The sequence below is a fragment of the Homo sapiens genome, chromosome 3 (genome assembly GCF_000001405.40).
Source record: "Homo sapiens chromosome 3, GRCh38.p14 Primary Assembly".
Taxonomy (NCBI): Eukaryota; Metazoa; Chordata; class Mammalia; order Primates; family Hominidae; genus Homo; species Homo sapiens.
Genome location: NC_000003.12, coordinates 140296234 through 140322812, shown reverse-complemented (window position 1 = coordinate 140322812; position 26579 = coordinate 140296234). Strand labels below are relative to the sequence as shown.

Genomic DNA, 26579 nt, shown 5'->3' with positions numbered 1-26579 from the left:
ATTTATTTTTTGATTCACTGATTATCTCAGAGTTCTGTAACCCAGAAATCCCTCAGAGGCTTTACAACCAGGACTCTGAGATTCTAGGAGTGACAGCATTCCAGTTGTTGTGTGAGTCTAAAATACAAAGTGCCTTCTCTTTCAAACACTGTCTCTTTCACAACCTGCATTAGAGGAAATCTTTCTGTTAATGTGTTTTTAAGGTTCAACAGAAATAAAAGCAAATGGCTTATTCTAAAAGACTCAGTACATTGACATCTGCTGTAGAAATTTCCCTGACCACTTATCCTTGGGATGATTTGAGGTTCCTCCTCTGTCTACAATCCCTTGAAATGATTCCTACTCAGCACCTCTTGCTCTGCGTCACATTTGGCTCTCTTGTCCTCCATCTCCCCCACCAGCATCTGAGGTCCTTTAAGCAGAAACTGTATATTTGTGTTTCTATCCCTAGTCCTCAGCATGAAGCTTGCCATGGGACTAGGTGCTCAATACATGTTTATTCAATGACTCCCAAATGATGCACAAGAAAATAACTCTGTGTTGGTTTCCATCTCAGTGTTCAGGTTGGTCCGTTGCTGCCAGATGCTGGGCCAGGCCACCTGATGGAGACCAGAAATGCATTACCCAGGCCAGGGAAGCCCTGCCTCTCCCCAACACTGTAGTTCTGTTTCTTTCCTTTTGCTGACAAAGTGCTTGTTCTGGAACTGAGCTATGACTAACACTCTGCCCCTGAGCAAGGTGCCTGTCCCAGGGCTACCTTTCCCCTGGGGCCCTGAGGTCTGAAGAGATGGAGCTACAGAGGGTGGTAGAGAGTGACAGTGAGGGCCTTGGCATCTGCCCTGCAGCCAAACACCAGCTGAGGATGCTCTGGTCCAAGTGCTGATCCTGTACTACACAAGGCTGCAGCCTTCAGTCCTCCTTTCCTACGAGCCTGCGTTCTCAAGGAAGCTGGAACAGAGATGGTACCTTGGGTGCCAGTCTGTACTAGACATTAAAATAGCAGAAATGGGGGAAAAGCGTATTCCCAAGAACTTTTTTCAGAGAGGACAATCTGATAAACTCTGGGGGATGTTGTGGGGCTGAGGAATCATGGATGCCTCCTAACTGCCTTCTTAGGAGGGGAACTCGGGTTATCTGAGGGCTCCAGGGTTTTGGTGGGGTGTGTACCTCCTCAGGTCCTCCCCCTCCCTGCCCTTATCCTCACTGCTAAAATGTGCAGCAAAAATTTAAGGACTATCAGCTTGCAGGGGTGTTACATTATTAGCTTGGAGGGTCCCCAGTGGTCTCTCTCCAGCTTAGGGCAGGGGACCTGAGCATGAATCCACACCTGAGGGTGTAGGGAGCAAGGGGAGAAGAAGGCAGTGCCAAGACTGGACAATACAGGCCACTCCTGGGAGCTTCAAAGGTCCAAGGGGCTGAGGGACACATGCTCACCTGGCAGGAAATCACATAGGAGATTGACAGAGCTGGTCAAAGGTGGTGCTGAAGGTGTGTCAGTGAGGACAGAGGCAGGCTTAGGAGGCTTGAGCATGGGGTTAGATTTACTCTGCGCCTATGGATATGGAGAGTCCAGGGCTAGACCCTTTCTAACTCTTCTTCAAGGCTCCAAAGCCCCTTTTCCTGGAACAAGCTGCACTCTGCCCAGAATAGAATCATACAGCCAAGGGAAGCTATCTTTTCCCACAACCTCTCACAAGCAGTCAGCTAGGGCACCTTGCCCTTTACCTTTCATAACCAAGCCCGTCAGTTTCAGCCCATACCCCGCGAAAGATGAGAGAGCATTCCTTGATACTCCCAGCACATCCTTTGTATGGTACCACTGGGTGGAGGGTTACTTCTGGCACCCAGTGAAGTTACTCCAGGTCTTATTTGCTGTCCCCTCTGTTCACCTCTTATCAAATGAACAAGCCAACGTAACAAACTCAGGCTCTCAGAGACTTGCCTTGTCTTCTGTTCCTGCCTTCCCTCACTGCCGCTGTCTATGTTTGCATTTCTGAAACTGCTTGAGGCTGTAGTTGCATCCCTCAAAATGGTCTTTTCCTGCTTTTGACATGGTTCAGGGCTCCAGCTAACAATGAACTTGTTCCTGTATCCTTTTTTTCTTTTTTTTTGGAAGGGGGAGTCAATAGTCAATACATACATTATGCATATAAATACATATAATACAATAATAATATGTGTATTGACCCCTGCCCCCCCCCGCAAAAAAAACACAAATACAATGGAAGCATGGGCATTACATGGCTGCAGGTCAGGCCTGCTCGGTGTCACCCTACTGTCAGCAGCCCCACTGGCCTGAGGTGTCTGCTCAGTGCCAACAGGTAAAAAGTATGCCCAGTAGCATCTGACAGTCACTAAGTCAGGACTGTGTCATCAGTTTATCATTTTCCTTATTAGTCCTATCGCTCACTCTTCTCCTTCTTCTAGGGGGAGGTGATCAGGTTGTTACTTTCCTTTTTAAACCCATGACTGAAACTCCCTTTCCTAACTTTCCTTGACCCAGTGCCCCAATCTCTACCTGAAAACTGAAAATGGAAGTGAACTCTGACAAGGCCCCCCAGTGCCCAGAGTCTGTGACGTTCTCCAGGAGGGCAGTTGTCCTCTGTGCATGGAGTTCTTAGGTTCTTTAGGTCTCACGGCTGGCTTGCACCATGCAGAGCTCCTGAAGGTAACCTGAGCACAAGGGTTGTCAGAGAAGCTGAGCTTCCAGAAGCCACAATGCATGGTGGTTAGCAGTCAGACCTGGCCATACTTTATGATCCCAGGTGACACTTCAGATGCAAATGCCTCTCATGGCATGACAAGGACGTTTGTTTAGGACACTGGAATACAGTGTTCAGAGACTGCTGGGAATGCACTTGCAATAAAATGGAAAAGCCATAAAGCAGCTGCGAGTTGTTTGCAGCAAGAGCAGCCTTTTCTCTGAGGGGAGGTGACTGAGTTGCCACTTCTCCAGAGCATCAGCAGGGTGCTGTGCCTGGGGCATGTTTCAAAAGAGCAAAATGATTATTATTTGGAGCAGAGACAGAAAGAAATTCCTAGAAGGGTTTGCACCTTTGCTTATTATTAGAGTGATCTATGGTCATGCTAAGGCACATGCTCAGAACCTTCCATGTGTCATCTCTCTATTCCTGACAAACCTCTTATCATGGTACCTGTGGATGCTGTTGCTGGCTGCCTTCCCAGCATCCATTTCCTATCCCACTTCCTAATTAGATCCTGATTTGTTCTGAAGCTAGCCCTTCCCTAACCCTACAGGGGCAGCCTGATTACTTAAGAAGCAAATTGGTGTACGGCATTCTTTTGCTCACTGTCACTCAATTGAAAGATTTTCATGACCATGGCTCAGACAGACTGAGGTTAAGGACACATGTGCCAGGGCCAGAGGAATTGATTCTCCTGTTCTATCATGCTGGGCAAGAACAAAGAGGCACGCAGACCCAAGTACCACTGGCAGCCACTTTAGGATCTCAGGGAACTCACCCTCAGCATGGCACCCATGCTTAAGATGCCTGAGCAGAGGGACAGGGAGACTTGGGTCCCTGATGCTATCACTGAGCTGCTGGATTTGCCCACCCTGGCTCTAGGTGTCTTGTAGTATGAAACAAGACATTTTCTTAATTCCAAATTCAGGGTAAGTTAGAATTACTCTTACACTCAGAAAAATCCTAATCGATCTAGGACTATTATCATTCTCATTTTACTAATCAAGAAACTGAGGATTAAGAGAGTAGTTAATTTGCCCAAAGTTATATAGTTAGTAAACAGTATAAAATTCAGGGATAATTTAACTCCAGAGTCCAAACTCTTAATTATTCTTATTTATGGATTCTCACAGTAATATGCAGAAATTTTACAATTCACCTTCATTGAAGGGAAGAAAAGTAAATCAAGATTGTCCTCCAAGAACTCAGAGGACAGATTGTTTTGCAGGATGGATTACTTATAATAATTATTTTAAAGTTTAAATTCTCCACTTTACTCTTTCTCTGGACTCCTCCTCAACATTTAGCACAAGCTTAGGTACAAAGTAGGCACTAAAAGTATGCTTTCCAAATAACACCTAAGATCTCCCAGCACAGACTGGTGGCTCCAATAAGGACCCTCAGGTTTCCAGACCCTTTCCTGCATCACGGTAAGTACCTAGAACTCTAGCATTTGGAGACATTTATGCCAAAGTCTGTTTAGCCAATAGCATGAAGAAAATCATCACCTTTTAGCAGTAGCAAACTTTGCACAGTTAATCACTAATGTTTAGGTTACAGCCTGAGACCTGAGGGGGCCCTTGATAATCTCCTAGACATAGACATACGAGAGGGGCTCTTCAATAGCTGCTCTACTCTGCTAAGTACCAGGAGCTTCTGCATAAACCCAGCATCCTGACATCGCCCTTTGTCTGAAAACCCAAATTCCTGATCTACCTGCTCTGTCTTTACTGAACCTGACCCTATCCTTTGCTCTCCCCACAACCATTGGGATTCATCTCACTACTTATATTTCCGAGCCCCTCCTTGCCACTTCATCATGGCTCATGCTCCCTTCCCTGTGTCTCATGGCCTTGGCTTGTCACTGGACCACACGTCTGTCTTTGCCCAATGCACCTTAGCTTACCTGGGTAAAACCATTCCCAGAAGACTGCCTGAGAGATGATATGGTGCAGGTGTTAAGACTATTACCTCTGGAGCCAGGCACCGTGGCTCCATCATTTACAATGTGAGCTATTTTGGACATGTCACCTAATTTCTTTGTATCTTACTATCCTCATCTAAGATGGGAAAAGTAATAGTTCCTACCCCATACAGCGGTAATGTGCGCTGGCTCACAATGTAATGAATGAGGTGCATGACACCAGCGGGCACTATTGATATGATGCACTGCCTGCACAGCAGCACAAGGTGGTCCTGACCTTCATATAGCGAGCAATTAATGCATGATCTTATTGTAATGAGGTGATGCAGTCTCTAAAAGCCTTGATTATAAAAATTACAAAACTGGGGGAGGCACAGAGAGGCTTCCTAAGGAGCTAACAAATCTGGTACTACATGTGAGGGAGAAGAAAACAGTTACATCTTTAATATGAATTCCAATGTTTATTCATTTCTCTAACAATTGTATACTGAGTCAGGTAACAGTCAAAAACCTTTATAGTATTCAGAGAGTAAGTTAGGTTCCCATTTGAGCCTCAGTACTCCTGAACAAGTAAAGACAGAATTTCTGTTTTGCAGGTGAGAAACAAAGTCTGGAGAGGTTGGTGAATCTTGACAGTGGTCACTTATGGGTCTCACACTGGAATTGGGGTCCTGTGGCCAACAGGCTGTAGGAACTTTTACAGAAGGCACACTCCTCCAGTGGACTGCAGCTAAGGGAGGGACACTCTCAGAAGACAGGCCTGGTTGGGAGGCTGCCAGCAGGTCTATGGCTGCTGAAGACTCACTCCCTACTTCTTTGGTCTTTGCAGCTGAGGTTGCATCAGGAAGCTATGGCTTCCAACCACTTGAGGAAACTTATTAAATGAGCTCCCCGAGAAGAGTCCCTGAACTTTTCCCACCTGCACATTCAAAGGATGATGCAAGGAGCAACAATCCTCTTTATAACTGAGCCATCTGGTCCACTCAACACTTCTTTGGTATAATTCATGAAGATTGTTTTTTTGTTTGTTTTTTAAGGTCTTAGCATCATTATAAAGAAGCATTGTTCCCAGAGGATCCACTAATCTGGGAAATCACTGAAACTCTCAACTGGAAATACCTCTGATGATTCACTTTATTATGACTCTGCCTAACACCACGAATGAATTTTCTTAATGTTCTGGAATTGTCCCTAAAATGAGACAATTTCCCCATCAGTATATTGACAGCCTACCCTGCATTATTTCATGGCAGGCTTTATTTGCATTCACAGTGAGTTTAAAACTTGGAGTAGTTTGATGAGATTAATATGAGGTGTCTCTTCAAAAGTTGAGTGGTATAACAATTTAGCAATGCCTCCACTATGTGAAATGAAATATTAACTTCACAAACACAGTGACAGATTAGAATATCACTTGCCTCCAAGGCAATTACAGCTTCTGGTCACACATTACTACCCACTGTGGGAAATGTGTGAGCCTCTCTCTTAATCACCCCCAGCAGGTATTCACCAAGCACCTGCTTGTATCCCACACGACCCTGAGAGATCTGAGACACAATCCCTGGCCTTAAGAAACTGACATACCAGCAGAATGAACTGATGATTAAAATGGCATGCCACCAAGAGGCAAAACAATGACACAGACACCAAGAGGTATTAAGAAAAGAAGACAGGGTAGCAGAAGAAGGAGCTTCATGGAAAAGAAATGAAATAATTGCAAGAGTGTGGGCACTGTTTAGCAGGTGCCTACTTGTACTAGCATCATGGTTGGCCCCTGATATATGCTATTGAATTTGGACTTGATCACGATTCTATGAGATACATCCAAGGCTCACCTAAGCTCAAACAGCTGTCATTGTTGGCACTGGCATGATCTTGCTTCCCCTCTAGGACTTGAGATTAGGAGTTTCTACCTCTCATGCAGGGTGAAGTCCCATTCCTCATGCCAGCCTCCTGTGCTGGCTTCCCTCCTTCACCTCACTGCTTGCACTGAATGGTAATCATATGCTAATCTATCTATCCCCAGCTGGGCTGTAAAGAGCATGGCTGGGTTTCATTTATCACAGTACCTCTGGCACCTAGCACAGAGCCCAATGCACAGCCAGCACTCAGCAGATGCCTACCAAATGAGTGAATGATTTTAAAAACTCCCAGTTCCCTCAGAATTAGAACAAGGGTAAATGCACTATCTTCTGAAAGTCCATCCTGACTGCTTCTCCTTCCACTAAGCTCCCCTCTCTCTGATCAATTGCCTTGGAGAGACAGAAACCATCTGGAGGCAGAGGCCACACACGCTCCACCTTTTATCCTACCTACCCTCTACCCTGACACTGTGCCATGCTAAGCCGATAGCTCCTGCTTTGGAAACTGATTATAACGGGAGGGATGTGCTCTTGTTAAAAGATACCAGCTCTGATTAGGACTTTTGCTCAGACAGAAAAGGCATTTGGGTCCTCCTGGAAGACAAATTGCTAGAGGGAGCCCCACATTCAAGTAACAGCCACTCTGTGGAGCATCTCTAGGACACCTGAACCTTTTAATCTTCCTTTACTAGTTAAAAACCAGTTTTCAACTAAAGGACTGAGCAAGGAAACAATGGAAGGTCTCACATTTGGCCCACGTGGAAGGCAGAAAAGCCACAGTAGTAAGAGGATAATGGCATCCAAATGAACAAATAAACATTTTCATAATTAGCCTACTAATTAAAATAGCAAATACAATCAAATTCAATTAACATGGATTGGTCTGTGGGGCTTTAAATCAGAGAAGCCTGGTTGATTGCTCTGGAGTCATTAATTAGGGCTGACACAGTTTCTTCTAAGTAAATCCTCTTGGCATACACCTTTCCCAATTACAGGATTCGTGATTGGCTGGGAGATCGCAGGTGTTGTGCATAACTGGACTTTTGGAAGGGTCTGTTTCAAGGGTTTCCCATCATTTTACACACATTTTCATTTATTTAGGTCATAGATCACTTCCACAGCTTCCGAATCTGGTTGGTGCATGTGCAGATTTGGAGCTCTGAGCAGGATCCACGGATGTGGGTGAAGGCCATCCTCCCTTCCCTCATCAGCAGTGCTTTATTTCTGCTCCTTGCCAGCAAGCACTCACAACTTTCAGGACACTCTAATAACTGCCTTGGCATAGGCTGGAAAGTGATCTAACTCTCTCATTTAAATGAGACCAGAGAAACTTAATGCAACCATGGGATCCCTCAAGGATATTTCTCTGGTGCTTGCTTTGTGCCAGAGGTTGTTCATGAATGAAACCATGGGGCCCTTCCCTGAGGGAAGGAGGATTCCTTCCTTTAGGGAGATAGACATTTACATAGATAGTTACACCAATGTCCCCAGGAGCCAGGCCACCACTAAACCAATGAGTGGGCCTGATGTAAGTAAAATAGGGAGGGGTGGGAACCATGGTGAACAGCACAAGCTCCTTCTTAAGGGAGTGTCCACTATTAGACTCAAAATGATGGTTGGGTCCCAGTTCCCACATATTCTGGGTTTACTCAAAGATTAGAAATCCAGATTCGTATGCAAAAGCCCCTATTTTTGTTGTTGTTTGTTTTATGTTTTAAAAGTGGCTTATTTAAAGAAAAAAAAAAGCACTGGCTGATACTTCAGGGTATCATGGGGGCAGAGGAGAGCATCTAACTCTACCACTCCAGAAGTCCCATGAGGCCTCTAGGGGAGTGGCACATGGGTGGGATCTTGAGAGTTAGCAGCTCTCATCCAGTATAACGGGAGCAGGACAGGTAGGAGGCACAAGAAACAATGCATGCAGAGTCATGGGCTCAAGGGGATAACCTAATATCTTCCCTGTCCCAGGGGTCTTGGCATTTAAACCATGATAATAGAAACAAGTCCAAGGTAGCAAGTAAGGGAGGCAACACGTCAGGAGGCCTGGGGTCTTTCACTTGAAAGAGTGCTTGGCTTTGAATTAAACCCATGATATTTTATCTTTACCCAACTTTTTCCTAGGAGCTTGGCTTTGAGGATAGTTATTTAGTTTCTCAACTGGAAGACAGAAATAAGAAGAAAACACCTATGGGATTGTTGTGATGATTGCATGAGACAGGGAAATGTCCAGGGTCTGTCATGAACCAATGTTTGCTCTACAAATGGTAGAGTTCACTGCTGTCAAAACTCCCAGTCACACAAAGCACATCATTTCCTTGAACCACTGTATACTACCCACTCTAGTCCTTTGGCCTTGTGGCTACCAGAGGAACTGGTACTGGGGCAGGTCAAAGGGGACAACGCCAAAAAGTGGGGCCTGTTCCTGTTTTTTCCACTTTGACCTGCCCTCAATATTCCCAAACTGGCAGATGTCACCTTCCCAAAGGCCTGAGGCAATGGCAGAAAAATTTGCCTGTGCATTTGCTATGATTTGGAGATCAGTGCACTGCGCTTTGTGTCACAAAGTCATTATGATGTCTGGACTTTTTACCCATGACACACTTCACTTTGTGAGTATAGAAATAGCCTCTCAGTAGCTGGTATAGATGCACTGGGAAGCTGTAAAAGCTTCACTGTCAAGCTCTGCGTCATTTCACTCTTGGAATCATTATGCCCCTTTGCTACAACTTTATTACCCATTTGTGAGTCTTCCAAAGCAGTGACCGCAACTGCCACCTCCTCTAGGCACTCTCAGCTCTATTCTGCTTTTGGCCTCTCTCAGCAGTAATTTGTCATAGAATTCAAAATGACACTGCACTCCACTGAACTGCCATCTATTCTATGGAGTCTTTCGTGAGGGCCCTCCCTAGGTGGAAAAAAAATTCCTCCCCTTTTAGCCTCCTGTCAGGGTACCACGGCTGTGTGGTGATTTGCAGAAGCTATGGGTCTTGGAGTCAGAAAGCTCTGAGTCTCAGTTTCCTTTTCTGTAAAAGGAACTAATAGTCTCTAATTTTCAGTGTTATTATGAAGATTAAGCAGCATGAAATTTAGGACATCTGACATGGGGAGGGGTTCAATAAAGAGCTGTAAAACAATTTGTTCCACTGATGGTTTTTTTGGGGGGGACTTTTCTACCAAAATAGGGTTTCTGGATAGTACAGGCAGTGTCAGATTCAGCCATCTTTATATCCCCAGTACGTAGAACCATGAATGGCACATTACTTGATTCAGTGAATATAATTGCCTAAACTTTTGCTCCACCAGAATCCTTGCATTGCTTCTTTAAAATGTTTTCTTATGTTCAAAAAGAAATTAACAAATATACCAATAACACAAAATAGAAATTGTTCAGGATTCGGTCGAAGACCTTTGCAGACAAGCTAACAAATACTCCAATTGCTGAAAATGTCAACCCTTTAAAGGTTTTGCTCTCAATTTTCAAAACAAATGCAAATTTCCATCTCTCTTTCTCCCATGTAACTACTGTCAGACTCAGAAACCAAGGCAAACTAAATTATGTTTCTCTGAAAACCTCCAATTTTTTCCTTGACTCAAATTAATTACAATTTCATTGTGGTTTTACAGAGTTCACTTTGCTGCTGATTGCAACACACTGGCTTATCCTGGCTCCTGACAATGCTAACAACATGATAGAAGAAGAGACCCAGAGGTGTCCAGCTTCTGTATTTCTCATTATTTTAAAAGAAGGCGTAGACTTTCTTGCATGCTTCTGATGCAGAGCAGTTACTTCACACATGCTCACAGCTCAAATTCTACAGAAAGAATTGTAGACGAAAGATGATAACCATGGCTGTCAAAGCTGTTGGTATATTTCCTTGGGGAAAAACTACTTGAAAGAAAAAGGAAGAGAAAAAAGATTCCTCAGATGCGATAATGATAGAGCAGGTCAAGGGCCCAGTGCTAACAAGTGAATGGCCAAGCGCCAGCTCTTCAAACCAGCCATCAGCAAGGAAGGCCACACTGTGCAGAATCCATACATGCCAAAAGGGAAGAAGTCGCTTAGTTTTGTGTAACTGGGATTCCGACTGGTAAAGTAAAGCTCACCTAGGATCTCAAAATAATGACTTGTTAGAAAAACTAGCACAGAGGAAACAGCTACTGGGAGAAGACCTTAGATGCATATCCTGGCCCTCTCATTAAAAATAAACATCTGCATGGCTTCCAAGCATTTGGGGAAGATATCCCTATACTGCATGGGAGAAAGGGAAAGCACTCTGAGTCTGGATGAACTGCAGAAAACAGAACCAGGCTTAATTGCATTACCTCTAATTAAGTGACTCTAATGAGAATTGAAGAACACTGATGACACACATGTAGAGAAGTAACTGGAACAATCTTCATAATTAGAGATGCGACTCAAGATAAGCCTTCTCATTCCCTGGGTGATTCATTAGCAAAAGTTTGTTCCTCCATCTACCCATCCACCTGGAGCCCAGGATCTGGGGTTGAGTGCCTGTGTAGAAATCCTGGCCACACTTACTGTGGGACTGGGGCAATTTTGTCAACACCCCATGTCTCGTGTCTCACTTTCCTCCTCAGGAAAATGGAGATGATGAAAATAGCACTTATCTCATGGTGTTGTCATGATGATTACATGAGTTATTGCATATAAAACTCTCAGAATAGTGCCTTAAACATAATAAGTATCATAAATCTGGCCGGGCGCGGTGGCTCACGCCTGTCATCACAGCACTTTGGGAGGCAGGCAGGTCACTTGAAGTCAGGATTTCAAGAACAGCCTGGCCAACATGGTGAAACCCCATCTCTACTTAAAAAAAAAAAAAAAAAATTAGCCAGGCATAGTGGCACACACCTGTAATCCCAGCTACTAGGGAGGCTGAGGCAGGAGAATAGCTTGAACCCAGGAGGCAGAGGTTGCAGTGAGCCAAGATCAGGCCACTGCACTCCAGCCTAGGCAGCAAAGAGAGACTCTGTCTCAAAAAAAAAAAAAAAAAAAAAAAAAAAAAAAAAAAAGGATAATAAACCTTAGCTGTTATTATTATTATTAATTCACACACTAATGCATCATCTATTCGTTCAAACAGCTTTTACTAGATATTTTCACTGTTCCCAATCCTGGGCAATGCAAATCTGGTGATATTAGCCTGAATTCAGTAAGTAGCCTCTTACTATTTTTAAAATAGAACTCTATTGACTCACTGCCCAATCTGGCTCACCTATTCCTTTCTCTCTCTGCTGTTGTGGCACTGGCTTTCCTCAGCCTCTCTGACTAGCCATGCTTCACCCTTCCTCCATAGGCCCTTTACACAGGCCGTTCCTTCGGCCTGGGATGCTCTGGAATGGCAGAGTCAATGTCTGCTTTTATTTGTTCTTGAACCTGCAGCACCTAACACAGAGGCTGGTTTGTACTAGGTACACAATTAATATTCATTGAATAACGAATACATAAATTTTTTAAATTAATATATAAGACAGCAGATAATAGACAATATTTAGTGCTTGCTCTGTGCCAGACACTGTTCTAAACACTTTTCTTGTATTATCTCATAATAATTCCATCTTGAATGGAATGAAATAGAATAGAATGCAATGAAGTAGAGGAGAGTGGAGTGAATTAGAAAAAAATAAAATAGAATAGAATAGGATAGATGACCCTAGCTTAGGTCTATGAGGGAGGGAGACCTGTAAACAAACCACTATAATCAGTGAGCTAAGCACCCTGACTGAGGCGAGTGGAGGGCACTACGCAGCCCAGAAATGCCACCCTGACTGCTTGCAGACATTGATGACAGTCCCACAGAGGTCACCATTACTGAAATGAGGGCGGAAGGGTTGTCTGTGAGAAGCGGGTGGTGCCTTTCCAGAAGAAGGAGCAGCAGTTAAAAGCACCGAGGCCTGGGAGAGCTTGGGAAACCAAATGAGTGTCTGAGCCTGGGCCAGAGGGAGTGTGCTGGGTAGAGGTGCGACAGAGGCTGGGGAGATGGGTGGGGCCAGCCAAACTTCAGGGCGGGGAGGGGGTGCGGTGGGGGCGCCTATGGGCCAGTTTGGGTGCTCACTGAAGTCTTTAAAGTGACAGTCAGGTTTATGGTTTATAAAAATAACTCTGGCTGTAGCACTTATTGGGGAGAAAAGTTGGGAGACTGCTGTAGTAACCCGGGGGATGTGTTTAGATCTGAGCTCCTGCAGTCTTAGAGGAGAAAGGGCAAATTAAAAGGAGGAGATGGAGGAGGAAGAGCAGGAAAGGGAAACCAGAGAAGGCTAGAACCCCATGACCAGATCTCCCTTGGGTTGATATAAGGAGGACAGGGTAGAAGGGGCCCTAGCAGGATGACTGGGGAACAAGCCGCCACGGTGAGAAATGTCAGTCCTGACAAAACTATGAGGCTTCGGTCCTAGAAGAATGTGGTATATGTGTTTTTATGTGCTGAGTAGAGTGGGAAGGAGAGTGTAGAGCCCGGGCCTGAGAGATTGGAAGTTCAGGGCCAAGTGCTAAACCAGGGTGCAGACATAAGGACACGAAGGCCCCACAGAATAGGGAAGGAGAAGCACGAAGGAAAGACTTAGTCACGGGGGAATAATTTCTGGTAGGGCACGTGGGGGTGACTCTTGTGGCTGTCTGGTTCTTTTAGCTGTGACCTGAAGCCCCTGCATAGCTGTCTTGATCACTGAGGGACCCTGCTGTGCCCAGCAGGTCTGCTGGAATCCACAGGTCCTACCTTCTCTGGCCTGCCTGCATTGCCATCACCTATGCCCTGCTTGTGATAACACTTGCCCTCCATGATACTGTGATGTTATTGGTAAGACTAGCCCCACTCCTACACTCCCAGAAGCCTCTGGGGTACCTGCCTCCTTTTCCTCTACAGACACCCAGTGTCCAGCCTGCAAAATCTGGCCCCACCTCTCACCAGCCTTACCTGGGACCATCTCCTGGGGAGGATCAGCAGGTAGGCCAGATATCCTCCTGTCACTTACATGCCCCAAGCATCTTGCCACCTCTGGTCCTTCACTGCCCCTCTGTCTACATGTCCTACTTGGCCTTCCTCAGAGAAACCTTCCCTCGGATGCCAGGTAGGCCAGGACCCCAGTGACATGTTCCCAGGACCCTATACTTCTGCTTTGTCTCACTTGTCAAGATCATAATTTAAATAATTAGTTGTTTAGTTATGTGCTTAATGTTTGACTCTCCTACCTGATTGTAAGTTCTATGAGAGTAGGGAACAGAGAAGACAGAGTCAAGCACTCAGCATGTTCTCAATAAATATTTGTTAAATAAACAAATGAATAAATAACTGATGAAACCATGGCTTAAAGATTACACAGCTAGTAAAATGTTGAATCAGGACTCAAATCACCTGTTCTGTGTAGCTTCAGGACAGTCCAGTTAGGAAATGATTCTTAATGGAGAATTTGCCCTTGGATTTCCATTAGAGCTGCGCTTAGGGAGGCAGCAGAATGGGGGAGGATGGGAAGGGATTCTAACATGTCAACAAATGGCAGTTTTCTCAGAATACTGGATGACTTAGCATAAAACTGGAGTGAAGACTGTGCTTCTGAAATGTTGAACATTGTTTAATAATTTGGCACTGTACGTTGAGAGGTTTCTGTCAACACTGTCAACATCCAGACTCCAGCTGGCTGAGAAATGAGCAGGGGTGGTTTTGAAAAATTCACCAGTTCTCTTGGGGAAGGCCAACTAATCTGATTTTAATGCCTCACACAATGCTTCAGAATTGCAGTCAGTCACTTCAAAATGTGCTTGCTAGAATTAACTAGGTAGATGCTCCCAAAGGAGATGCAGATTCCTCCATAAACACCACACATTTATTTATCAGGACACAGGGTGAATTCCAGGAGGGATTGCAAAGGTTATATAACAATCGAAGTCATTTATTGAGAGCCTACTAAGTGGGTTTACCAATGCTACCTTCCTTGATATTGAATGCCACCTTCTGAACTGATGCCCCTTACACCTACACTGTGTTGAAGCAACTTGCCTGCACATCAACATCTAATGTGAAGTAGAGGTGGCCTGGAAAACTGAGGCCCTCTGGCCCTGAAGCCTGTACTCTTTCTCTGATTCCATTTTGCCTGGTTCCTAAGTGGATATTGCTACTGTCAGTGTTCCAGGATTGAAGGATCTGTAGCCTTCCATAGATGCCAAGAGCCAATTCTAAGGTGACTGGACACCCTAGTATACTTTCCCCTAAGGTTCAACGTTCAGCAAATGGAGGTGGGGTCTATCATGGGGTGGGGAGGAGGTGCTGTGGTTCATCCTTCACATTCATGAGCCAACTTTACATTATTGAGGCCGACTGTTGTGCCTGTAAGGATTATATCTACAGACCCTGTTAAAAGGATACTCTGACAGATTTCTGAGGGAGCCTTCACCATACAACCCTAATTGTTAAATGTAAACATTTAAATGAAATGTATTGTTAATTGGTTTGGCATTGCTCTATTTTTAATATACCAGAAGCCTTAAAGAGCAGAAATGACTCAGACTCCTCTGCTCACATGAATGGTGGAAGAAAGCAGAATATTCACAAGCTAGGGTACAGACATTTTAGGGAAGCTGATTTCAAGAAGATACAGGGACTATTGAGAAAAGATAAAGAGGAAGAAACAACGAACCAACTGAAAAATTCAGTCAATGAACATTTAATGGGTACCCTCTATGTGCCACGTCCTGAAAAAGGCATAGTCCCATGGATGTGACTAAGTACCGCCTCCAAAGTCATTAAGATTTTTCAGCATTTACTACATGCCACATACTTTATGCTGAATCCTGAGAGGAATACTTAGAGGTTATTAGATCAAACTTTTTTTTGTTTGTGTAGAATGAGGCAGTGAGACATGGACATGATAATTGACAGCAGCATAGTCAATGCCCTGCTCTGCCAAAGAGCTCAGAAAAGCACAGGGGCAGGAGTGCCCAGGAGGAAGGGCAAGGAGAGCAGGAGGAGGCCGGCAAGGTGTGTAGCAGGAAGCTAGACAGGGTTTGGAAATGTCCCACATGGTTTGGGACTCTGAGTTGTATTAGTTTGTTATCATGCTGCTGATAAAGACACACCCGAGTGGGCAATTTACAAAAGAAAGAGGTTTAATGGGCTTACAGTTCCATGTGGCTGGGGAAGCCTCATAATCATGGTGGAAGGCAAGGAGGAGCAAGTCATATCTTACATGGATGGCAGCAGGCAAAGAGAGAGAGCTTGTGCAGGGAAATTCCCGGTTATAAAGCCATCAGATCTCATGAGACTTATTCACTATCATGAGAACAACACTGGAAAGACCTACCCCCATAATTCAATTACCTCCCACCAGGTACCTTCCACAACATGTGGGAATTCAAGATGAGATTTGGGTGGGGACACAGCCAAACCATGTCACTCATGTAGAAACAACAGAGAAGAAAAAATAAATAATAATAATAATAATAATAATAATAATAATAAAAAGACAAAAATGGATCCCAGAACACTAGAACTCTGATGGGGTTGAAACAAACTGCCTTTGGTAAGTAGAAAACCACTTCAGTGACAGACTCATGAATTTTCTGGAAAAGCCACATGATGTGGGTGCTGAAACTAGAGACTCAAAATAGTAATAGGGTTCTGTGTCCAGAACACACAGCGTGAATGACCAGGCAAAACTAGCTCTTTAAGTCCATGAAGAGTAGGACAAAGAGCAAGGCTGTGAAGCAGCTACTTGATGGCAGGCATTGTTCTTATTATATTCATTTCCTCTAATTCTCAAGTCCTGCAGATCAGGAGATCAGTCTGCCTTTGACTTCCACTTTACAAAGGTTCAACCTGGGCCTCAGAGTTTTAATAACTTACCCAAGACCACAGCATAGTGTAGCTGGGATCAGTTGGCAATAAAACCTGAGTTTTTTTTTTTCTAAACATGTTGCTGTCCTCTTAGAATTACGATGCTGTGGGAAGGAATTACATCTTCTAATGAAGGAGGTGATAGTGGGTGTTTATAACTAAGGGAAACAATAAGGAAAGACTCTTCATGGCATGCGATTCATTGGGTGGCAGACTATTGATGAGTGCCCTGTGTGCACAGAGCTCCCAGCATTTTGTGTTTAACACAGTGGAAGGCCTGTGGGAATAAAGGGGATACACAGAATGTGCAACTGTGAGTATATTTGACAAGGGCAATCTGGAAGACACTGGACCTTGAAGGATGTATAGGATCTGGATATGTGTAGAAAGGGAGATACATTTCTATGAGGGTGTAGGGGGCACAGTGAGAGTAACTGACTAGTGGTGGGGATGACTATAGTATCCATGGTCTGTTCTTAGAGTAAAGAGACGGAGATTTCAAAATGCCATTCCTTACCCGATTATAAAAGTAACACATGTTCACTGCAAAAATACTTGGAAAGACAGGGAAGAATAATGAAATAATTAAAAAGTTATCTATCAGTTTTTAGTGTCAGTCCTGCCAGGCTTCATTTTGTGCACTTTGAAAAAAAAAACCCATATTCATGATCAGACTGTACATACAATCCCGTGCCTCACTTTTTTTATTTAACAAAATATTGGGCGTATTTTGTCTCTTTAAAATATTTTTCAAGAGTCTGAATTTCCATGGCTGCACATTGCTCTATTAAGGGCCCCCCAAGTTCTTCTTTGTCCTGTAAATGTGTCATTCTGTGCTGGAAGGTAAGGACTATGGCTGTCCAGGATGGAAAGGTGAGCTCAACAAGGCATCCCAGGGTTCTTCTTGGTACCAAAGTCCCTGGTGAGCTTCTCATTTCTGCCTGAGCACGTTCTGCTTCCTCTCACGATGTGTCTGACCTTGCTGAGGTGATGTAAAGGGAAAAGAAGGAAGAGCTTGCTTTCCTTTTGGAGATAAGGGATTTGAAATGCCTTTACCCCCACCACACTATACACACAGCAACTTAAGGTGTTTCGAAGACACTATCTAATGGGAATGGAGTTTAAAGGGACCTGTATTCAGTTTCTGAAAGTATTAAGAGATGTGATTTCTAATTTTGCTCCTTGTTGGAAATGAGCATGAACAGGCTATTATATAATATATATTAGATAAATAATAATATACAAATGGAGCCCTTTCTGGCCCTGTCTTGTGTGGTGACAGCTTGAATCCACGTACAGGATCCTCAGCACGGAGTGGAGGCTACACAGTGATTAGTACTAAAGAGGGAACAGGAGGAAGAGAGAGAGTATCACCATAGAGAGAGAGAGAGAAAGAGAGACAGAGAGAGAGAGAGAGAGTGTGTGTGTGTGTGTGTGTGTGTGTGTGTGTCTCTGTGTGTGTGTGACAGCTATGTCCTCCAGGGAGAAGCAAACTATCATGCATAGCTCGCCTCTAATGCAACATTCAGGGCATTGGACAATCGCTGTAGGTTATTTTACTTCGGACTTACAACAATAGGTAAGTAAAAAATAATTTCCTACTTGAGGAGAAGAGGTTGAGCATTTTACCCAAGATGACACACCTAGTAAGTGGTGGGGTTGGGGTGGGGACTCAAATCAGGCTGGACCCAAAGCCAGCTTGCTTTCCACTACACACCACTAACCCTTTGCGCTGATTCAATGAGAAAAGACGCTTCCTCCCTGTCTCTGTTCCACTACAGCCCTGGAGAGTCATCTTCAAAATCCAAACAGGGTATTATGGATTAAAGGCTTGTGTCCCCCACATTCATATGTTGAAGCCCTAGCTCCCAATATGAGGGTATTTGGAAGTGGGGTCTTTGGGAGTTAGTTAGGCTTAGATGAGATCATGAAGGTGGGGCCCTCATGGTGGGATTAGTGTCCTTATAAGAGGAGGAAGATAGATCAGAGCTTGCTCTCTGCCGTTATGAACATACAACAAGAAGATGGCCATCTGCAAGCCAGGAAGAGAACCCTCACCAGGAGCTGAATCAGTTGGCATCTTGATGTTGGGCTTCCCAGCAGCTACAACTGTGAGAAATAAATTCCTATTGTTTAAACCACCTAGTCTATTGTATTTTGTTATGGCTGTCCAACTAAGACGCAAAGATTCAGAGCTCCATCATCAGCAGAAGACTTCACTTGTAACTGAACCCAGCATTTTAGATTATCAGTGATGGAAAAAGAAATATGAAGGAGTTTTAGGTTAGCCACAGTTATCGGAAAATTCAAAGAAATGAAGTTTCATGTAGTTATAGCCAGAAGCTATTTCATCTTCCCACTGCGAGTTTCAGAGATAACCACATAGCTCACACATAGCTTTTTCTGAGTATTACATATATTGTCTCATTTAATCCATACCACCACCCAAATGAGTAGGTTTTCTGGTTGCTATTTCAAAGACAGAGGAAAGGAGACCACAGAAAGAAGTAACTTGCTTAAAATCAGAGAAGTGGCACTTCTGTGGACTTCATTTTCCCCAGCATCCTAGATTTTTAAAGTGCCAAAGCTGCAGGCCCTCCCAGTGAATGTTGATCCCATGGAAGTCCAAAGTGAGATTCCTGGTCATGGCTGGTCTCCTCATGCATCTGGCCAGAGCAAGTTGATGCCTCTTAGGATACAGGAGCACTGCCTACATCCTCTAGAGCCCCTGTGTTACTGGAGCCAGGTCACAATAACAGGGTCAAGTTGGGACACCGAATGATCCCTTCAGGCACAGATTTGTTCTGGAACATTTTACAGACATCTCTAGAAGCCACCATAATCTCCTTTTCCCCAAGTGACCTTCAGTTGGATATATTTTAAATTTTGGAAGTAAAATAATTTTGTAAACTGTAGAGACCTCTGTGTTTGAAGGACGTTATTGTAATTATGCTTGGAAAAAAAACTGGAATGATTATTTAGATATTATTTCTCTTCTACAAGCAGAAAACTGTGAGAGAAGCTAAATGACCTGTCAAGGTTCACAAACTTGGGCAGACGCAGAGCTGGGACTAGAGTCTGACCTTTCCTTTGGATTCAAGTTAAAGAAATGCTAACTGAGCAACTACTGTGCATTCCAGCATTGTGCCAGGCACACAGGAGAAAAAGATGATGCATGTCCCTGAATGAGAGAGACCACATCTTGGCCTCCTCTGGTTCCTCAAGCCTTGTGGTATATGCTTGGCACAAAATAAGCACTTAAGAAATATCTGCTGAATGAATCAAATGGCTGAACTCAAAGATGTTCATGCTCTTGTTTCATCTCGTGAACAGTTAGAACCTAAACTGAGATCTGAATTCATCCCAGAATGCCTTAGGTTTTCCTGTCAGCATTTCTCCTTTATTCATATGCATCCCCAACAAGATTGTGTTCTCTTCAAGGGCAGGGACCTTGATCTTGCTCTTGCCTGCTATGCTGTGTGCATCGCGGGGCTGGACAGAGATGGAGAACTCAGCAATGGCGGAGGAATCACAGTCCTGCCCCATCTCCGGGGCTGACACACTTTTAGCTCACACCAGAATGTCAGTCATCATTTGGAAATCTGAGCCCACCTGACTCCACACTGGGCCCACATCATCCCTTCCTACAAGCCACCTTTCTCTGTCTCCAACCCTCCCACCTGGCCTAGCAAAGTGGAGCATTCTTCTATCTGTTCTATACACTTGCCTCACTCCTGCAGCTGGACAGTAGGCCACTGTGGGGGCATCTTTTCCACATCCCCAACCATTCCAACCTTGGATGAGAGTTTTGCACATGGCAGGTACTCAATAAATTTGTGTTAAACACAGAAAACATTTTAGCCACACGTGTTTTGCTTGTTTTCAGGCAACGTTTACTAGCCTTTGAGAATAAATGCTTTGAAGACCATATTTTTCAAAGAGCTCCTATGCAAACCTAGAATTAATAAGCATCTAAATTACAAAGCTCACCATGTAGAACAAATTGGATTTCTTTTCATTAATAGCAAAGAAGCAGAAAACAAGCCCAATCCCAAGGGAACCAAATGAACACAGTTATTCACCATTTTCTCTCTCATTCTTTTTTTCTGTCCATAAACCCAACTTTATTCAACTATGTAGTTCATAAATATGGTCCCTGTATGTCAGCACAGTTAACAAGTGGTCTCCAGCATTACAGCCCTTTTGACAGCTCACCTGGCCTTGCAATAATAAAGTCACAGTTCTGGTTCTGGAATTCTTTATGTTTTTCTAAATGGAAAAACAACCACCACAAGAAACAAAAACTAGCAAAACCCAACCAAGCCTCAAATGATCACAATGTTCCAAATATTAAGACACGGGTCTAGTGGCTTTTTAATCAACTAAATGTCAATGTTGTTCTACATAACAGCATAGAAGCCACATTAGTAACAAAAAACAAAGTCCAATCCATGCACAGAATATTTTATATCTGCCTTCTTAAAAATATATTTGCTTTAAACAGAGGCCTGAGGGTTTTGCACCATTCTGTGTACCCTAATAGCAAAGACTCTTTTCCAAAAAAAAAAAAATACTATAATGGTTTGAGGAAATTCTACCTCTGTCCTGAGATTGCTGTGACGTTTCCCATTTGCTTGACATGTAGCTAGCTGGGCAGGAGGTAGGGATGGGCAGTTGCTGCTTGACAGTCACACAGCCTCCAGGAGGAGTACCTGGTCTCCCTGCCTACACAGCAGAAGTCTGAAGCCTGGCAAGTTAGCCAACTGTAAGTCCTTGAGATTCTTTTCTCTAAAATAGAAATTCTCAAATTATAGTCCAGGGAATCCTGGGGTTCCCTGTGACCCTTTTGGGGCAAGAATCCATGAACTCAAAACTATTTTCAAAATTACAGGAAGATGTTATTTGCTGTTTTCACTTGTTTTTGCTTATCGATGAACAGTGAAGTTTTATAAAAGCTACATGAAATATAATCTCGCCACAGAGCAAATGTAAAAGCAGAAATAAGAATCCTGCTGTCTTCTGTGAAGGTAGACATTAAAGAGATTTGCAATCAAGTAAAGTAAGGCCACTTTTCTCACTGGATTCACCTTGTTTTAGAAAATATGTTTTTTCATAAAAGATGTAATTTATGTTACCACGTAATAGATTTGTTATTAATTATTAAAAATACATTAAGTAAATACTTTTAAAATATCAGCTTTAACTTCTAATACGGTTAAGTATTGATAGCTATAACACTGTGATGGTTAAGTATATGTGTCAAGCTGACAAGGGGTGCCCAGACTAAACATTATTTCTGGGTATATCTGTGGGATGTTTCTGGATAGCATTAGTGGATTCACCAAAGTAGACTGTCCTCCTCAGTGTGGATGGGCATCATTCAATCTTTTGAGGGCTTGAATAGAGCAAAAGGGCAGAGAAAGGAGGAAATTGCCCTTTTGCTTCCTGCCTTCCTGCTTGAGCTGGGACATAGGTCTTCTCCTACCTTTGGACTGGGATTTACATCATCAGCACCTCTGGTCTGCAGGCCTTTGGACTTGGATTACAATTATACCCTGGCTTTCTTGGGTCTCCAGCTTGCAGACAGCAGATAATGGGACTTCTCAGCCTCCATAATTGTGTAAGTCAGTTCTTCATAGTAAATCTCTTTATGTATGCATATATATATATCGCCTACTGGTACTGCTTCTCTAGAGAACCCTGACTAATCCAGATCTACTACAAATAAGTTCTTTGTGGCCCTCAGTAATAATTTTTAAGAGTGTAAAGATATCTTGAGTTGAAAGAGTATGAAAGCCACTGTCCTAGGACATTACTCAGCCTTTCATGGGCCCACCTAGCTCCTACTTATTATTCTTCAGATCTACATTCAAGGCACATCTGGGAACCTACCTCAGAGCCCCTGACCCCAAAAGAACCCTGTGCTGGGCTCTGTAATAGCACCAACTATCTAGTAATATATTTATAGATTTTCCTTGTATTTCCCAATGCCAACTCTCTGAGGCAGGGCTGGGTGGTTTTCATTCCTGAATTCTCAATGCCAAAGAAAGGGCTTGGCACCCAAAAAGAATTTAGTACATGCTGAAGGAAGAAAGGCAAGACAGAAGGAAGCAAGACAGGTAGGAGAACAGACACTGTAGGAATTTTGGTTGAAGGGCATTAATCAGCATCAAAGAACCAGCAAGACCTGTAAAATTCCCAATCACAGTTATTTGCTGAGGGCCTAATCTCTGCCCAGCCCTGCATCAGGAACTTGATTCTTATGCATTATTATGCATAAAATCCCTTGAGTTATTTATTAAACTGCAGATTTTGGCATCCTATTCCCAGAGATAATTAAAGAGCAAATCCTATACAGGTGGAGATTGGGAGCGAGACTGCATTCTGGGCAATAGCTCCCAGTGAGGGAGCCAAGAGCTGTAGCTTCTGAGCAACAAGGGGGAAACATTTTCAGCTTGTTCACAATTCGGAAGTTATTCTTTTCATCAAAAGGCAAGGCTGTACACAAAACCATCATCACATGTGGCATTCTCCCAACCATTCAATAAAAACACTAGCATTACAGAAGAGGAAAAAGAAAACCCTCACTGAGAGCTCCAACGTGCAAGTCTGTGTAACTCACACCAAGTTCTAGAAGTGTACATGTCCATGCAAACTAAATTAGAAAGAAACTTGCTAGTGTGATAGAATATAGCCAAAGAAGAAACCATATTTATTACGAACTTTGGGCAATGGTCTATGGAGGCTAAGATGTCTCTGAAAATCACTTTTCAATCTTATACAAGCAGCATCCTTCATGATGCAGAGCAAAGTGGGATGTAAGTCAATAGCCAAAGATAGGTGACCGACACAAAAACACAGTAGGAGAAGACAATTAAGGGCTTCTAGACAGGATGAGGACTGATACACACTCCTCTACACCTGGCTGAAGGCTCTGCTACTTCCCTGACAAGCAAGGACTGCAGTTAACACGAATGAAACGTTACAGTTGGATTTAAATATGACTTATCTCTATGAATATGCATGTAGATACATACAGTATATGCATGTTATGATTAAGAACACTGGTTTACTAAATTGAACAGAACTGACTATATATACTGGAGCTTCAATAATAAATGAACCTTAAAATATCTTTTTTGGCTAAGGATTCCTATAGGTTTGGTTAAGGACAACGGCTGGGAACCAGGGGTGCCCACATAATCACTCAAATTAAGATCTGATGAGTGAATGGCTGTCCAGGGTTACAGCCCCTTCCTCCCTAGACAGGGCTGTTCCCATTCATTTGGGCCACACACTATAATAATTGAAAGTTGTGTCCTGGAGTAGTTTGGAAGGGCTTCCTGCAGGAGGGAGCACTTGACACTGGGCTGTTAGGAGCCAGTAGCACTTAGCTGAGTGGAGGGGAAAGTGAGCACTGGAGAGCCCAGGTGACAGTGAGGCACGGAGACCAAGGTACAGGGGGAAGAGGGTCAGGGACCATGCTCCCCACAGGTCCACCACTGGGTGAGGCACTATTCAGAGTCTCTTCATTTGCAGCTGCAGCCTATTCCCGGATCTCAGATTCCCAAGTCCCCTAGCTTTTATTCAGGTTGAAGGGCCTTCCTTGCCTCTTCAAGGTGGGTTTCTACCCTCATGCCTCTTCACTCCAATTTTGTAGTTTATTTGCATTTCTTTTTACACCATGCATTCTGTTCTCATTCTTGTATGTTAATTACCCCCACTGCATCCACAGTTGCTGCCCCACTGGACAATGGGCTTTTGGAGGAAGTTTATTGCCTTTTGCCTGACAAAAGCTTTGCTTTGTGAATGAATGAACAACTGAATGAGTCTTCTTGTGTGATCCTGGGCAAGTTACCTCCCCTCCTGGGCTTCACAGCTTCCCCAGTGTTCCTGGGGGACAAACCCTGCTCAGGCTGCCAGACATACTACAAGCAGCTTCCCTATGTGTCCTCAACATTTTTTATCATAGACAACTGCAGCTATGTGTTTCAGTGTTTATCTTTTTCTCTAGATGGTGAGCACTTTGAAAGTTTATAGGCCAACATAAATTATGATTATTGTCATCATTACTATTGTTATTTCCTTCCGGTCTAATGGACACTATATTCTAGGTGTGTTTTAAGGACTTTACATAGATTATGGCCTCAAATATTTACATTAGTAAATGAACTATTACATGTATTTTATAAATAAACTATATTAGGCCCATTTTACAGATAAGGAAACTGAGGTTTACACATATTAAGTGATTTGGCCAAAATCACACAGCTAGTATACAGCCAGAAATTGTGTGCAAGCCTGTCTAAATCAGAGCCAGGGCTTAAAATCACTATGTATTTAGTTTATTTTTTATTTTACAATATCCCACCTCTATAGCACAATGCCTAGCACATAGCAGAAGCTTAGTAAATTGTTGACTTGAGTGAATGAATTATGATCCCTAACTTACCATAGCTTGCCTAGTAATTTTTTGACTTTACAATTGTATAAAAGCAGTACACATTTAATACATTCAACTTATGTTGGGGTTACATCAGATGACAATATTGTAAGTGGTAAATGTATTTTCTACTTTCAATGGGTTTATCAGGATGAAACCCCATGGTAAGCTGAGAACCACCTGTATTAGGTTGAGCCATCATGATGGAAGTTGGAAGCCCACGTATCAGCCACATAGGCTAAGGAAAATGTCATTTGTGTAGAGTCACATAGCTTCCCTGAGCCTTGGTTTCCTAATTTGTTCACTGGTCACAGTGCTGTATGCTGAGGGTCAGCAGACCACATGCAGCCCACAGGTCGAATCCAGCCCTATACCCATTTTTATATGGCCTGTGAGCTAAGAATGGCATTTTTAACTCCTAATTTAGAAAAGGACTCTAGCCTTTCAGGAGACTGGTTACTCTATTTTACCTCTTGGCCTACAAAGCCCAAAACATTTACCTGGCCCTTTTCAGAAAAAAAACATTTGCCAATTCCTGCTGTCTGTAGTGACTAATTCACCAGCTCATTGTGAGAATCAAGTAAATGTTATTGGTGGAAATTTAGTGAAAGGGAAGATGTAGTAACAAAGGCATTTACGTTAATAAGTATTAATATTAGTTACAATTTTGGTGCCAGAGATGGCCATTTTTCCCAAAATCCTTTGCCCCTGTTCCCAAGCAGTGGGCATGAGATTCTATGTCCTCCAGCACCCAGAGTGGCTGTGTGATATCTGTGCAAAATTGCCTTTCAGAGTTGATGCGGAGAGCAGTTCAAGGACGGAGGCTGACTGAATAAACACCAAACTGGCTTAAAATACTTGGCAAACAAACACAACAAATTGAGTCCAGATGTTTCTTAGTCAAAAAAAGTAGCCAGAAGTTAATCATTCTGACTAATGTCCAAAGAGCTCCTCATAGTGGAAGAGCTGGAGGGTTTGAATTTCACCTGAAGGAAGCTGGGCACACTGTGGAATAGCTCCTGAAGTTCAGCACTCCTCTGTCTGTCTGACCATCCACCCATCCACCCAGCACAGTGGTGCAGAGGCTGCCTGTAGGGTGGGCCTGACCACTCCTGCTGGCTTAGCCCCAGCTCGTTCTTGTTTATCCTCCTGGAGCTCAGGTTCTCAATCTGTAAATTAACCTGTTCTTCCTTTCCTGTCTACCTAACAGGGAGGTTATGAGGAACTAACAGAAAAACGAATGTGACAATATAGCCTTTGCTATGATTAGAAATAGTAAAACCCAGCCCTAAAGGGACAGATGGTCGGAGCCAGAAACCTTAAAAACCTCTATAGAGAAAACTAACTTAGGCAAATACATCTAACAAATACTTGCGTTGTATATAATGAACAAAGAGGCAGAATCATTAATTTATAAAGAATTCTTACAAATCAGTAAGAAAATGATGAGCATCCCAATTAAAATAGGAGAAAGTGTGAATTAGGCAATCCATGAAAAATATAACAAGTAAGCTGAGACTGTTTGAAAAGTTGCTCTGCCTTACTAGTAATCAAAGAAATATGAAATTGAAATGACAATGGCGTATCATTTTCTGTTAGGGCAATACAGATAAAGTGTGATGATGTCTGATGTGAGCAGAAGTGTGAGGAAATTTTGAGAATTCAAATTAGTTCAAATTTCCCAGAGAGCCATTTGCCAGTATCTGTCAACATTTTAGATCTACATAGCACATCTCAATTAACTTTCCAACGGGTTGGTTTTCAGGGAACTGACATAGTGATTCTAAAGATCATCTT

At 43.3% G+C, this 26579-nt stretch overlaps 1 protein-coding gene across 2 annotated transcripts in view, besides 1 other annotated feature; it reads right to left on the bottom strand.

The window, feature by feature from the left end:
• The window catches only part of CLSTN2 (calsyntenin 2), a 642213-nt gene that overhangs the window by 254585 nt on the left and 361049 nt on the right, over positions 1 to 26579 (bottom strand). The window lies entirely within an intron of this gene.
• Positions 23700 to 24380: an enhancer, noted in NCBI's record as "OCT4-NANOG hESC enhancer chr3:140017275-140017955 (GRCh37/hg19 assembly coordinates)". NCBI's record gives its function as "activates a minimal SCP1, AML or CMV promoter by ChIP-STARR-seq in naive H9 embryonic stem cells {active_cell/tissue: H9 hESC(naive)}" and the evidence as "EXISTENCE:reporter gene assay evidence [ECO:0000049][PMID:30033119]".